General features: G+C 45.3%; 1 protein-coding gene across 7 annotated transcripts in view; it reads right to left on the bottom strand.

Moving 5' to 3' along the window:
* Positions 1-15,566, bottom strand: part of ARHGEF4 (Rho guanine nucleotide exchange factor 4) — a 210,340-nt gene that overhangs the window by 13,524 nt on the left and 181,250 nt on the right. For 5 of the 7 annotated variants that reach the window (NM_001367493.1, NM_015320.4, NM_001375901.1 and 2 more), the window contains one exon: positions 5,646-5,785. The exons of the other annotated variants lie outside the window; for them this stretch is intronic. In NM_001367493.1, the coding sequence (NP_001354422.1) occupies positions 5,646-5,785 (140 nt within the window). The remainder of the gene's footprint in view (positions 1-5,645; positions 5,786-15,566) is intronic. 7 annotated transcript variants of the gene reach the window in all.

Below are 15,566 nucleotides of genomic sequence, written 5' to 3'. Positions count from 1 at the left end.
AAAACGCTGGTCTGCAGGTTTGCTCCCCCAAGCTGTCAGGAGAATTGGGGGGATCAGAAGACATCTAAAGTCTCGCTGGTACCCCCAAATCCCAGCAGTCCTCTAGTAAGATGGTGATGTGTCCTCTCATGGGGTGTGGCTTCGAACCCCTGACGTGTGGATGCTTCATTGTGCACCTGTGGCCTCTGAACAGCTGGCCACCCAGAAGGGTACATGTCCTCTGGGCCCTGGGTACAGTGGGTCGGTGAGCTGGATGGCCGGCAAAGGCACTGAGTGCTGGAGGGTCTACAGCAGCCTGCTCGGCCACTGGGCCAGGCCTGGGCAGGCAGGGGTTGGTTCTTCAGCCCCAGCTGAGTGCTGCGCACATCCTCTGCCCCATGCACAGCAGGGCAGCCTGGGGAGGACTGAAGGTGGCTGAAGCACCCCTGACTGAGGACTGAGCAGGGTCCTTCTCCCTGCCTAGGGGCCCCCAGCCTCTATATCCCAGAGAGCTGGGTTTATGGCAGGAACGGCAGTGGTAACAGCTTTCCTATGTGAGTTTCATGACCAAAAACCTAACAGAAAAGCTTGAAGGCAGACAGGGTGTGGTGGCTCACAACCTGTAATCCCAGCACTTTGCGAAGCCAAGGCGGGCAGATCGCTTGAGCTCAGGAGTTCGAGACCAGCCTGGGCAACATAGTGAAACTCCATCTCTACAAAAGATACACATATTAGCCAGGAGTGGCGGCATGTGCCTGTAGTCCCAGCTACGAGAAAGACTGAGGTGGGAGGATCACTTGAGCCTGGGAGGTGGAGGTTGCAATGAGCCAAGATTATGCTTCTGTACTCCAGCCTGGGTGACAGAGTGAGACCCCGTCTCAAAAAAAAAAAAAAAAAAAAAAGAAAAAAGAAAAGAAAAGAAAAGAAAGCTTGAAGGCAAAGGCCTAGGCCCTTGAGGGGTTGGACAGACAGCTCCCACCAGGGAGGGGAGTGGCCCAACTAGGCTGGTGGCAGGACTGAGGTGCAAGCAGAAGGGAGACATAGGTGTCTGGGGCAGATGAGGGGTGAGCCCCCAGTGCTGTGGCTTTGGGAGGACAAAGGGAAGAGGAAAGCCACTTTGGAGGGGCTGGCCACCAGGTGACCTTGCAGCCCTGCGCAAAAGTGGCAGCAGTGGCCCCAAGGGACTGTGAGCTGCTCCTGCCCCGCCTCATGGAGCACCTAAGCCCAGCTTGCTGTCCAGCCTAATGAGGATGAGTACAAGGTATCTGCAGCACTGACAGCCATCAGGCTCCTCCCTGGGGCTGAGGAGGGGGAATAAGAGCCAGGTCAGGACTGGGGAGGGATGTCCAGCGGCACGGGAACTCAGGGAAGACAAAAACACCTGGAGCGAGTCAGAGTGACTCCATGAGGGGTGACCAAGAGCTGGCCTCATGTCCTATAGCATCCTCGGGTTGTCTCATGGAGAATGCCAGGAGAGCAAGGGCAGTGACCCTGCCCTGGGGACATCTGTCCCCAGGCCGGACCTGGCTCTTGTTCCCCCTCCTCGGCCCCACAGAGGAGCCTGATGCCTATCAGTGCGCCAGACACCTCGTGCTCATCCTCACCAGGCTGGAAGACGAGCTGGGCTTAGGCACTCCATGAGGTGGGGCAGAAGCAGCTCACAGGATGCTGCAAGACATGAGGCAGGGGACAGGCTGCTGTTCACAGGTGCCAGTGGGCAATGGGAGACCCTAGACCTCCCCAGCAGGAGCCAGGCCGTCCTCTCCCCTGGTCACATCATGGCTCGCACTGGCAGCACTGCCCACACGGTGGTGGTGGTGGGGAGGGAGCTGGGTGGTCACTCTCACTGACAGGCGCTTCTGGCTTTAGCTTCAGAAAAAGTCCAGGGGGCTTAGGGTGGCCTCAGGCCTGACTGCAGGGGCACAGTGCAGCCCAAGAGAGTCAAGGGGGAGGGCGAGGAACTGGGCAGACAGGCCCAGGCCTGGGCCATGGCCTTGGGGGTAGGCCCTAGAGGGGCCAGTGCTGGAAGAAGAGAGTACACTCCTGGGCACTGAAAACACTCAGCGTCTGCATTCCTTAATTTGCCTGGCAGGGACTGGACACTCACGAGGGGCAGGGCACAGGGAACTCAAGGAATGCAGAAGGAACGAGACATTGTGCCTGTTTGCACGTTCCTCAGGCCCATATGGGACAATGCAGGGGCCCACACAGACACGGCCTGTGGGCAGCTCCCTGCAGGCAGGACTATGGCTTCTGCACAGCTGCATCCTAGGACCTGGTGCGTCCCTGACGCAAGTACTCACTACACACGTTACATGTATGCAACACACACCCACACCCTTTATGTACAGCACGTGCACACACATCTGTGTGCAAGCATAAAAATCACTCCTCATGTACCTGGAATGCAAACTGCCTCGCGGCTCTGCCCCGAGTGGGCCGCTCTCCAGGCCAGAGGGTTTGCATTCGTTCTGCTTAGGAAATTGCAAGGTGGTTTCCCCTTCTGAGGGAGGCATCTGGCTAAATTGTGACCCTTTCTTGTTCATGTTGATGTCAAACATCTTAGATATTCCTTGGCCAAAGCATCTTAGAATGAACAACTTGTCAAGGAACTGAGAGCTCAAAAAGATAAGAAAGGGCCACAATTTAGCCCCTACATATTCTTAGAAAATAGAAGTGAATGTGTGATTTTAGGGCAAGCCAAATATTATTTAGTAAGGACTTTTTTCTGACACCTGTTGCTTTGCTCATCTCTAGATATTAAAGTCACGCTAACCCCCAGCAAAGCTTCTGGCTGAGCCCGTGGGAGTGCTGCCCTGAAGGCCCGGGAACTGGCCTGTCGCAGGACAATCACTTCTTATCTTTTCAGTTTCTGATGAGTGAGTCCACTTAATGCTTCTGGCGGCTCCTAACAGGCAGGCACCACCTTTCCTGAGTCTGCAGTGCAAGCTAGGCACAGTGAGGGCTCCGGTGTCACATCCACCCACAAAACACAGAGATGGCCTTGCTGCAGCGCTGTGCTGGACCCAGAGAGGCCTCCAAGCCCAGGCCTGCCCTTCTTACTGCCTCTCTCAGGACAGCCTTTCTACATGAGGATCTGGAAGCACTGGTAGCCTTCATGAGGCGCGTGGATGCCATCTGGGACAGGAGCCAGCCTCCCCAGCACCAGCCTGCAGCATCGCAGGAGACGGGCTCCCTCTGCCTGACTTCCTGCTCTCCTCTGTGATGTGTGTGTCCTTCTCCCTGGGGACACGCGCCCTAAACGTTAAGGCAAAGCAGCAACACTCCGTCTGCTCAGCAACCTCCAATGCCAGGAGAGACCTCTGAACCAAACAGGACCAAACAGGCGCTTACACAATCCAAATCTAAATTGCCTGCCTTTCCCTCAGAAAGATGACAGAGCCTCATTTTTTGGGTTATTTTTTCAGAGAAGTCCTGGCTCTTGGCCTTTCTCGGCCAAAGCATCTTAGAATGAACAACTTGTCAAGGAACTCAGAGCCCAAAAAAACACCTCTTCGCCAGCAGCAAGATGTGACAATCCATAATTTTATCCTCAGGTAGGAGACACACAACTATGAAATGCAGACACAAGATCAACGCAGCCATAAGGCCAGCCATGGAACCCCCACCTCTCCGGAGTCCTGAGGGCTTTGGTTGGGATGATCACCCTCGTGGTTGGAGATGTACTGAGAGCTCACCCTGCTGGGTGTGTGCAGTCAGTTACCATCAGCCCTGCACAGCCTCACACCATCTGGTGTCACAGCCATGTGAACCAGCTCAAACGGTCACTGCTCAGTGCTCCATGCCCCACATCTGACAGGCCCCCTCGGGGTCCCCCTGCTGGACCGAGCCCCAAGATGGAGGAGGCAGCCTGAGTCTTCCAGAGAAAGTACAACTGGCCGAGTGTGGTGGCTTACGCTTGTAATCCCAGCACTTTGGGAGGCTGAGGCGGGCAGATCACCTGAGTTCAAGAGTTTGAGACTAGCCTGGCGAACATGGTGAAACCCTGTCTCTACTAAAAGTACAAAAATTAGCCAGGTGTGGTGGCGGGCGCCTGTAATCCCAGCTACTTGGGAGGCTGAGGCAGGAGAATCACTTGAACCTGGGAGGCGGAGGTGGCAGTTAGCCGAGACCACTGTGCCAATGCACTCCAGCCTGGGCGACAAGAGTGAGACTCCATCTCAAAAAAAAAAAAAAAAGGAAAAGCACAACCATTCCTTGTGAATTCTGCTTCAGGTGGCATCATTTCAGAACACCTTCCATCCCAAGTAGCTTACGAAGAGGCACTTAAAAAGAAAGGTTTTGTTGGGAAAGCTTATTTACATGTTTATTTTTTATGCACCATGGATTTTGAGTAGCGCATTATTTAACGACTGTTTTATTTTTATTTTTGAGATGGAGTTTCACTCTGTTGCCCAGGCTGTAGTGCAGTGGCACGATCTTGGCTCACTGCAACCTCTGCCTCCCAGGTTTAAGCTATTCTCCTGCCTCAGCCTCTCGAGTAGCTGGGATTACAGGTGCCCGCCACCATGCCTGGCTAATTTTTGTATTTTTAGTAGAGATGGGGTTTCAGTGTTGGCCAGGCTGGTCTTGAACTCCTGATCTCAGGTGATACACCCGTCTCAGCCTCCCAAAGTGCTGAGATTATAGGCGTGAGCCACCATGCCCGCCCTTAATGACTGTTTTAAATCATCATCTAGAGCTGGGCCTCTAGGAGGAGTTCATGGGCCTTTGATTCCACTCCTCTGTCCAGTGGGTAAGGAGGACGCCACCCTCCTCACTGGCTTCTGAGAAGCCCCCCAACTCATTCATTCACAGAAAAGTCTAACTCTTCCAAAATTGATCTCTTCTTAAGGAAAAACCTGTGTGCTATAAGATCCTGGGTTGTCAGAGTCCAGTTTTAATGAAGCAGAAACACACCAGTACCTCCTGACTAGAGAACATGGCATTTGCTATGGGCATGTGCTTGTGCTGGTCAACTGGTTACACTTCCATGACGTTCAACAACACCCTCCAGTTAAGTAAAAGAGGCTGAGAAAGTAGGAGGGTGAGTGAGAAAGAGAGGGGCGTTAAAGCATCACGATTCCTCTCTTATTGGGAATGCAAAGGGAGAACTCAGATGGGAACCAGTTTTGCCTGGATGAGGATTCTCATGGATTTCTTCTGCTTCAGTAGGAATAGCAAAAACACAGCAACTTGCACGCAGTTGTCATAGCAACAGCAATACTTCTGAACTCCTGTTGTCAGGAGAGAAAATGGTTTTTCCCTCAACTTGTTCCCAGCCTGCCCAGATGGCTGGTTGGGGGGTCAGGGGCTGGAGTGACTGGAGAAGCCCTAGCCTCCCTTCTACTAAGTAGGACTCCTCCAGCTGGGATGGCTCTTGACAGCTGCTCACTAGGACAGCCCCATAAGGTGGACCAGCACGCTGGCATTGCATCTGCTCTGTGGGCCTCAGGAGGGCACAGGGAGTCCTGTGTTGGACAAACCGTGCTCTTGACACCACATCCCAAATGAGGACTGCAGGCTGAAACTGCGCTGTGTATGGCCAGCACCACCAGCAGCCACATGGAACGTGGACTGTGGGCATCTGGCCTGCATTAGCGTGCTGGAATCTAGCCTGTAGCCCCAGCCTGTCCCTCCCTCTGCCCGTGCAGCCCTGACCCTACCTCATTGATAGCCAGCTGCTCCCCACCCCCTCCAGGGTGGCTGTAGTGGTGGCTGGAGCTGTGCAGGTCATCATACAGGTCCTCCTCGCTCCCCACTTCGTCAGCGCAGACAGCTGTGTCCAGAGCTCCATCAGGCATGGCTGGAAGGAGAGACAGCAGCTGGGCAAAGGGGGCTGGGCTGGGAAGGGCTGAGGGGAGAACACGTGGAGAAGGAGCCCAGTGGGTTCAGGACAAATGCTTCTTCTGCAGGGGGAGCGTGCAGGTTGCAGGGCTAGGTTCTCAAACCATCCTTGCCACAAACATGTGGCCTGGGTGAAAGAATGCACCAACTCACTCACACCACCACCATTAGTCACCCATCACCCAGTCTACAGCAACTTGGCTGACAAGGAAACATAAGTATTCACCATCACACAGCTCGAGAGCCCCTTAGGTTGTATTCAGTGACAAACCATTTTCCATTGTGTTGGCTATAGTATAGGCCCTTAGGAAAAATGTTAACATTTTGTTATGCAATATATATGTGTGTATTCAAAGAAAACATAGTTACATACATGCAAATATGGTTTGAAATTTAATACAATGAACAGTCCTGATACCCATCACTCTACTTAAGAAAAACACCAGAAACTTGACCTTCCATATCTTGTATACTCCATTCCAGTCCCATTCCCATCTCCCTCCTGTAGAGATATTCAAGAGTTAGAACTTGTAATAAATCATTCTCATGCCTTTGTCTTAGCATTTAGTTCTGTCAGTTATGCTAAGTTTTGACCTTGTCTAAAGGGATCCAGCAAATCCACTCTTCTCTGGCTGGCTCTTTTCACTCAACTGTGTGTGTAGCTGTGATTGTTTCATTTTCACTGCCACACAGTCTTGTGTTGTACGAGTCTTTCACATTTTGTGTGTTGGCTGTACTGCTGGAGCAGGGTGGGTCATTCCCTGTGCTGCTGTGGTGGTGCTGCTGGACAGTGTCTGCATGCCTCCTGGGCATGCGTTGGAGGGTTTCTCTAGGACATTGTTTCTCAACCCTGCTTTCATGACGGCCCCACTAAGGAGCACGTTGTTTTCCTAATCCTTTCCTGCCCCTATGAAATCAATACCACAAATGTATTGTGTATTGCTTACGCAATGTGGCATTCTGGAGAGCCATAAACCATCATAATAGCTAAGATATTTGTCCAGTTGGGGAAAATCACCACCCCTGGTGTGAATTCACACTGCTGAGTGTAGACGCCTAGGTGTGTGTGGCCCTGCTGGGTCCTAGGCACACCAAATAGTTTCCCAGAACCTGAAAGCGGCGCAAGAATGTTCCATCCCTCCACATCCCAGCCAGCTCTTGTGATTGGCATTACGAGACATTTAAATTCTTGAGTCTAATGGGTATGAAATGGTATCTTACTGTGATTTTAATTGACATTTTAGATTACTAATGAGTTGACCTTTTATCTATGGGCCATTTATATTTTCCTTTAATGTGAAGTGTTTATGAGTTTTACCCATTTGTCTATTGAATTGCTTATCTTTAACATATCATTGACATAAAAATATGTATGTATTCATGTATGTATGTATACACACACATTCCTTTCCTCACTTCTAGATACCTCCGTCACTCAGATGTGCCACAACTATCTCCTCCCAGTTTGTGGCTTGTTACTATTTTTAAGGTGCCTTTTGAAGAACGGAAGTCCTTAATTTTAATATAGACAAATCTGTCAATCTAGTCCTATTTGGTGTATGTTTTCTGTGTCTAGGAAATTCTTTCCAACCTCAGTCATAATGATATTCTTCTCTGTTATCCTTTAATGTTTTATAACTTTTCTTTTGATATGTATGCTGTTAATCCACCTGGAAATGATTTTTGTGGTATAGAGTGAGGTTGGAAACCAATTTCTTTCTTCTGTAAGGATAATAAATGGTCTTGGCACCATTCATGGAATGGGCAGTCCTTTCCCATGGACCTACAATGTCTGCTCTGTCCTTGAGTTGAGATTCTAGATAGCTGGGTCTGCATCTGGACTCTCTTCTTGCAGGAGGCACAATAATGGTCTCCAAAAGATGAAAAGATGGCATCTCCAGAGCCTGTGAATATGTTATGTTACGTGAGGAATTAAAGAGGAATTAAGGTTGCAGATGAAACCAGGGCTGCTAATCAGCTGACCTCAAAATAGGAAGATTATCTTGGATTATCCACATGGGCCCAACATAGGTGAAAATATGAACTTTGAAGACTCTTTTCAGACATTTTCTCGTCTGTGAGAGTCCCATCCATGACTCTTATCTTACTCTCAGGGAGCTTGAACAGGCAACTCTCACAGAAGGAAACGCATCCCTGTACACTATGTTGGTCTGACTCCCCCCAACCAGATAGACTCTGAGCTCCTTGAAGGCAGGAGCCATGACTTATTTGTTAATGTCGTAATGTCGACGTTTAGGAAATGTTAAGTAAATAAATGAGTAAACAGATGGATGGAAGAAACACATAAATGGTGATGAAACAGATGAAGAAACCAATGGAAGGATGAACACTTGAACAGATGGAAGCTGGGAGGATGACTGGGGTGGCAAATGGCAAGTTCCTTAAAAGTGGAGCCCAAAGGCCTGGCAGAGCCAACATCAGGAACAGTTAAAGCTCCACATGTGTCCCCAGAACTGACCTGGGAAACCCTCAGGGATATGGTTTGGATTTGTGACCCTGCCCAAATCTCATGTTGAATTAAAGGTGTGGCCTGGTGGAAGGTGATTGGATCATGGGGGCGGATTTCCCCCTTGCTGTTCTCGTGATAGTGAATGAGTTCTCATGAGATCTGATCGTTTAAAAGTATGCAGCACTTCCCCCTTTGCTCACTCTCTCTCCTGCTGCCATGTGGTGAAGGTACTTGCTTCCCCTTCACCTTCCGCTGTGATCTAAGTTTCCTGAGGCCTCCCTGTCATGCGTCCTGTGAAGCCTGTGGAACTGTGAGCCAATTAAACCTCTTTCCTTCATAAATTACCCAGTCTCAGGTATTTTTTTATAGGACTGTGAGAATGGACTAATACACTCTGTCTCCGACCTGGAGGCAGTGGCCAGAACCCAGCTTGCAAGCAGGAGCCAAGGGCCTTCTGCTAACCTTGTACACAGCTACAAGTCCCTAGGAACACTCATGATTTTTATTTCATTTATGTTTAAAAACTTCTATTATGGAAAGTTTCAAAAGTACACAAAAGGAGAGAAAATAGTATAAGGAACGTTGTATATTCATTGTCCAGCTTCAACAGTTCTCAACATGTGGCCACTTTTGTTTCATCATCTAATTCCCCTCCCGACTGGATGGTTTTTAGGGCAAATCTAAGATACAATATAATTTCATCTGTAAACACCAGAGCATATGTTTCTGAAACGTAAGGATCCCATCTCTCTTTCTTTAAAAAACATAACCACGATACACATCTAAAACAAACTGCAATCCACCAAAAGTTGTCAAATTGCCATACCTTCTCCCCTAGGGTCTTAAAATATGTTTTTATTGGCAGGTGCGGTGGCTCACGCCTGCAATCCCAGCACTTTGGGAGGCTGAGGCAGGCAGATCATAAGGTCAGGAGATCAAGACCAGCCTGGCCAGCATGGTGAAATCCTGTCTCTACTAAAAATACAGAAAATTAGGCGGGCATGGTGGCACACACCTGTAGTCCTAGCTACTCAGGAGGCTGAGGCAGGAGAACTGCTTGAACCCAGCAGGCGGAGGTTGCAGTGAGCTGAGATCGCTCCACTGCACTCCAACCTGGGCGATGGAGCAAGATTCTGTCTCAAAACACCCCCCGCCCAAAAAACAAAACAAAACAAAACAAAAGATGTTTTATTGTGAAATGACTGTAGAGTCACAGGGCATACCACTATAGTACAGACGGCACTGTGCACCCTCCATCCAGTTTCCGTCAATGGTCTAGCTTTCATAAGTCCAGTATGATCTCATAGCCAAGAACCTGACTTTAGTACAATGTGTGTGTATAGGCGTATGGCACTGTATCACCAGTGCAGATCTGCACAGCCACCAGAGCAACCTGTATGTAGGCTTTTGAGGTTGGCTTTTTCACTCAGCCAAATGTCCTGCACTCTATCCCAGCTGCTATGTGTATTAATACTCCATTCCTTTTTACTGTTGAGTCATATTCCATGTCATTCCATGGAATTCCATGGCATTCCATGCCACTGTTGGTTTAACCATTCACCTGTTTAAGGATATGTGGATTGTTTCCAACTATTCCTATTATGAATACAGCTGCTATGATAATTCACCAGCAGGGGTTTGTGTGAACATAAGTTTTCATTTCTCTGAGATAAATGCCCAGGAGTGTAATTACTGGGTCAGATGGTAGTTGACTACTTAGCTTTTAAGAAACTGCCAAACTATTTTCCAGAGTGGTTGTGCTATTTTACGTTCCTATTACTCTCAATGTCTCAGAGATCACTTTCTCTGAATCTTCAGCAGCATTTGGTATTGTCACTATTTTATATTTTAGGTATTCTGATAGGTGTATAGTGATATCTCATCATGGTGTCAATTTTCATTTCCTGAAAGGCTGACGATGTTGAACATCTTTTCATGTGCTTACTTGCCATATATCCTCTTTGGTGATATATCTCTTTATGTCTTTTGCCTATTTTTTTTAAGATGAGGTCTTGCTTTGTTGCCTAGGCTGGAGTGCAGGGGCATGATCATGGCTCACTGCAGCCTCAAACTCCTGAGCTCAAGGGATCCTCTCACCTCAACCTCCTGAGTAGCTGGTATTACAGGCTCACACCACCACACTTGCCTAATTTTCTGGAAAAACTTTCGTAGAGATGGTGTCTCGCTATGTTGCCCAGGCTAGTCATGAGCTCCTGGCCTCAAGTGATCCTCCTGCCTCAGCCTCCCAAAGTGCTGAGATTACAAGTGTAAACCATCATGCCTTGCCCTCTTTTGCCTATTTAATAATTGGTGTTTTAATGTTGAACTTTGAAAGTTCTTTTTTTTTTTTTTTTTTTTTGAGACAGGGTTTCACCATGTTGCCCAGGCTGGTCTTGAACTCCTGGGCTCAAGTGATCCTCCCACCTCAGTTCCCAAGTAGCTGGGATCACAGGCTTGTGCTACCACAGCTGGCTCAGAGAGTTCTTTATATATTTGAGTTATTTGTCAGATAAGAGGTTTGCGAGTATTTTCTCTCAGTCTGTAGCTTATCTTTTCATTGCCTTAAAAAGGGTTTTCATAGTGCCAAAGTTTAAAATTGTTATAATGTTCAATTTCTCAAATTTTCCTTTTATGAGTCATGCTTTTGGTGTCATGTCTAAGAACTCTTTGCCAAACCCTAGTTCTCAAGGATTTTCTCTTAATGTTTTCTTCTAAAAGTTTTACATGGAAATCTACAATTCATTTTGTGTGTGGGGTTTTTGTTTTTTTTTTTTTTGTATAATGTGTGAAGCTTAAGTCAAGGTTCATTTTCATCACCTATGGATGGTCTAATGGTATTATTTCTGGCATCATTTGTGAAAAGAATATCATTTCTCCACCGAATTGCTTTTGTACCTTTGTAAAAAATCAAAAGTTTTGATGAGCAAAGTAAGACATGACTACCTATTTTACAGAAATAAAAATGATTATGAGAATACCATGAACTGTTGTACAATAGCAAATTAAATAAACTAGATGAAATGGAAAATTTCTAGAAACACATAATCTACCAAAACTGACTCAAGAAGAAATAGGAAATCAGAATAGATCTATAATTGGTAGGGAAATTGAAGAGTAATAAAAAAAACTTCCAATAAAGAAAAGCCCAGGGCCAGATGGCTTCTACCATCTGGTAGTGAATTCTACCAAATATTTAAAGTATAATCAACACCAATTCTTCTCAAATTCTTCCAAAAATATTGAAGAGGAAGGAATACTTCCCAACTCATTCTATAACATCACTATTGCTTTGATAATAAACCCAGACAAAGAAACTACAAGAAGACTACAGACTAATATCCCTTATGAATATAGATGCAAAAATCCTCAACAAAATACTAGGAAATGGAATTCAGCAGCATATTGAAAGGATTATATATCAGGACCAAATGGAATTTATTTCTGGAATACAAGGAGGGGTCAACATAGGAGAGCAAATCAATATAATACACTAAATTAACAGAATGAAGGAAAAATACATGATTATCTCAATCTATGCAGAAAAAGCATTGACCAAGTTTTTACGATAAAACATTCAATAAACTAGAAATAGAAGGAAAAGTCCTCAATGTGATAAAGGCCACATATGAAAATCTCACAGCCAACATCATACTCAGCGATGGAAGACGGAAAGCTGTATCACTAAGATGAGGAACGAGACAAGGATGCCTGCTTTCTCCACTTCTATTCAACATAGTACTGTAAGTCCTGGTGAGACCAGTCAAGAAAAAGAAATAAAGAAGCTCTTTAGTTTAATTAGATCCCATTTGTCAATTTTGGCTTTTGTTGCCATTGCTTTTGGTGTTTTAGTCATGAAGTCCTTGCCCATGCCTATGTCCTGAATGGTAATGCCTAGGTTTTCTTCTAGGGTTTTTATGGTTTTAAGTCTAACATTTAAGTCTTTAATCCATCTTGAATTAATTTTTGTATAAGGTGTAAGGAAGGGATCCAGTTTCAGCTTTCTACATATGGCTAGCCAGTTTTCCCAGCACCATTTATTAAATGGGGAATCCTTTCCCCATTTCTTGTTTTTGTCAGGTTTGTCAAAGATCAGATAGTTGTAGATATGGGGCATTATTTCTGAGGGCTCTGTTCTGTTCCATTGGTCTATATCTCTGTTTTGGTACCAATACCATGCTGTTTTGGTTACTGTAGCCTTGTAGTATAGTTTGAAGTCAGGTAGCATGATGCCTCCTGCTTTGTTCTTTTGGCTTAGGATTCTGCACAGCAAAAGAAACTACCATCAGAGTGAACAGGCAACCTACAGAATGGGAGAACATTTTTGCAACCTACTTATCTGACAAAGGGCTAATATCCAGAATCTACAATGAACTCAAACAAATTTACAAGAAAAAAAACAACCCCATCAAAAAGTGGGCAGAGGATATGAACAGACACTTCTCAAACGAAGACATTTATGCAGCCAAAAGACACATGAAAAAATGCTCATCATCACTGGCCATCAGAGAAATGCAAATCAAAACAATGAGATACCATCTCACACCAGTTAGAATGGCGATCATTAAAAAGTCAGGAAACAACAGGTGCTGGAGAGGATGTGGAGAAATAGGAACACTTTTACACTGTTGGTGGGACTGTAAACTAGTTTAACCATTGTGGAAGTCAGTGTGGCGATTCCTCAGGGATCTAGAACTAGAAATACCATTTGACCCAGCCATCCCATTACTGGGTATATACTCAAAGGATTATAAAACATGCTGCTATAAAGACACATGCACAGGTAAGTTTATTGCAGCACTATTCACAATAGCAAAGACTTGGAACCAACCCAAATGTCCAACAACGACAGACTGGATTAAGAAAATGTGGCACATATACACCATGAAATACTATGCATCCATAAAAAAGGATGAGTTCATGTCCTTTGTAAAGGGACATGGATGAAGCTGGAAACCATCATTCTCAGCAAACTATCGCAAGGACAAAAAACCGAACACCGCATATTCTCACTCATAGGTGGGAATTGAACAATGAGAACACATGGACACAGGAAGGGGAACATCACACACTGGGGCCTGTTGTGGGGTGGGGGGAGGGGGGAGGGATAGCATTAGGAGATATACCTAATGTTAAATGAAGAGTTAATGGGTGCAGCACACCAACATGGCACATGTATACATATGTAACAAACCTGCACATTGTGCACATGTACCCTAAAACTTAAAGTATAATAAATAAAATAAAATAAAGAAAAAGAATAAAGGACATCCACATTGAAAAGGAAAAATAAAATTATCTGTTTGCAGATGACATCTTCTTACATGTAGCATACCTTAAAGAATCCACAATAAAATTATTAAAGCTACTAAAATTCAGCAAGGCTACAGAATATAAATTAACACACAAAAATCAGTTTTATTTCTGTATATTTGCAATGAGTAATCTGAAAAGGAAACTTTTGAAAATTTCATTACAATAGCATTAAAAAGAATAAAATACTGGCCAGGCATGGTGGCTCACGCCTGTAATCCCAGCACTTTGGGAGGCCGAGGCGGGCGGATCACGAGGTCAGGAAATCGAGACCATCCTGGCTAACACAGTGAAACCCCGTCTTTACTAAAAATACAAAAAAATTAGCCGGCCGTGGTGGCAGGCGCCTGTAGTCCCAGCTATTCAGGAGGCTGAGGCAGGAGAATGGCATGAACCCGGGAGGCGGAGCTTGCAGTGAGCCGAGATCGCGCCACTGCACTCCAGCCTGGGCGACAGAGCGAGACTCCATCTCAAAAAAACAAAAACAAAAACAAAAACCAAAGAATAAAATACTTAGGAATAAACTTAACCAAGGAGGCCAAAGATGTGTAGAATAAAAGCTACAAAACATTGCTGGAAAAAAAAAAAAGCAAAGAAAGACGTCCCATGTTCATAAATTGAAAGTCTTAATATATTTAAGATGACAATACCACCTAAAGCAATCTGTGTATTCAATGCATTCCTATAAAAATCCAATGACTTTTTTTTTTTGAGACAGAGTTTCACTCTTGTTGCCCAGGCTGCAGTGCAATGGCACGATCTCAGCTCACGGCAACCTCCGCCTCCCGGGTTCAAGCGATTCTCATGCCTCAGCCTCCCAGGTAGCTGGGATTACAGGCATGTGACACCACACCGAGATAATCTTGTATTTTTAGTATAGACAGGGTTTCTCCATGTTGGTCAGGCTGGTCTCGAACTCCCAACCTCAGGTGATCCACCCACCTCAGCCTCCCAAAATGCTGAGATTACAGGCATGAGCCACTGCGCCCAGCCCCAGTGGCATTTTTTTACACACATAGAAAAATTCATCATTAAAATTCACATGGAATCTCAAGGGGTCCTGACTAGCCAAAATTATTTTGAAAAAAACAAAGTTGGAGGACCCGCATTTCCTGATTTCAAAACTTACTACAAAGTCACAATAATCAAATAATGTGGAAATGGCATAAGGATAGATATATAGACCAATAGAACTGAATAGAGGATCCAGAAATAAACCCTCCCATATGTGGTCAATTGATTTTCGACAAAGGTGCTAACACTGTGAGGGAAAAGACAGTCTTTACAGCGAACAGTGTTGGGAAGCTGGATATCCAAATGCAAAATAATGAAGTTAAACCCTTACCTAACACACATAAAAATTAACTCAAAATGGACAAAGTCCTAAATATAAAAGTTAAAACTATAATACTCTTAGAAGAAAACAGGGGAAAGCTTTACAGCAGTGAATCTGTAAATAATTTCTTGGATATAAGACCAAAAGCACAGGCAACAGGAAAAAAATAGGTAAATTGAACTGTATCAAAATTTAAATCTTTTGTGCATTAAAGGACAGTATCAAGAGAGAAAAGGCAACCCATAGAATGGAAGAAAATATCTGCAAATCATATATCTGATAAGGGAATAACATCCAGAATACATTTTTGAAAAACTCCCACAACTCAAAAAACAAAACAAACAAAAAACTCAAAAACTAGCCCAACTCAAAAATAGGCAAAGGATTTGAATAGACATTTCTTCAAAGAAGACATACGAATGGTCAATAGCATATAAATAAGGACATACGACATCACTAATCATTAGGGAAATGCAAATAAAAATCACAGCGGTATGCCAGTTCATCCTTAGTATGGTCATTACAAAAACAACAAGAATAACAAAATATGAAAATAACAATGGCATGTGGATTATACCACAATTGTTTAAACAACTGGTTGGCTGTACTTGTTTGGCACTATTT

Source organism: Homo sapiens, chromosome 2 (genome assembly GCF_000001405.40).
Source record: "Homo sapiens chromosome 2, GRCh38.p14 Primary Assembly".
Classification (NCBI taxonomy): Eukaryota; Metazoa; Chordata; class Mammalia; order Primates; family Hominidae; genus Homo; species Homo sapiens.
This window is presented reverse-complemented; position numbering and strand designations above follow the sequence as displayed.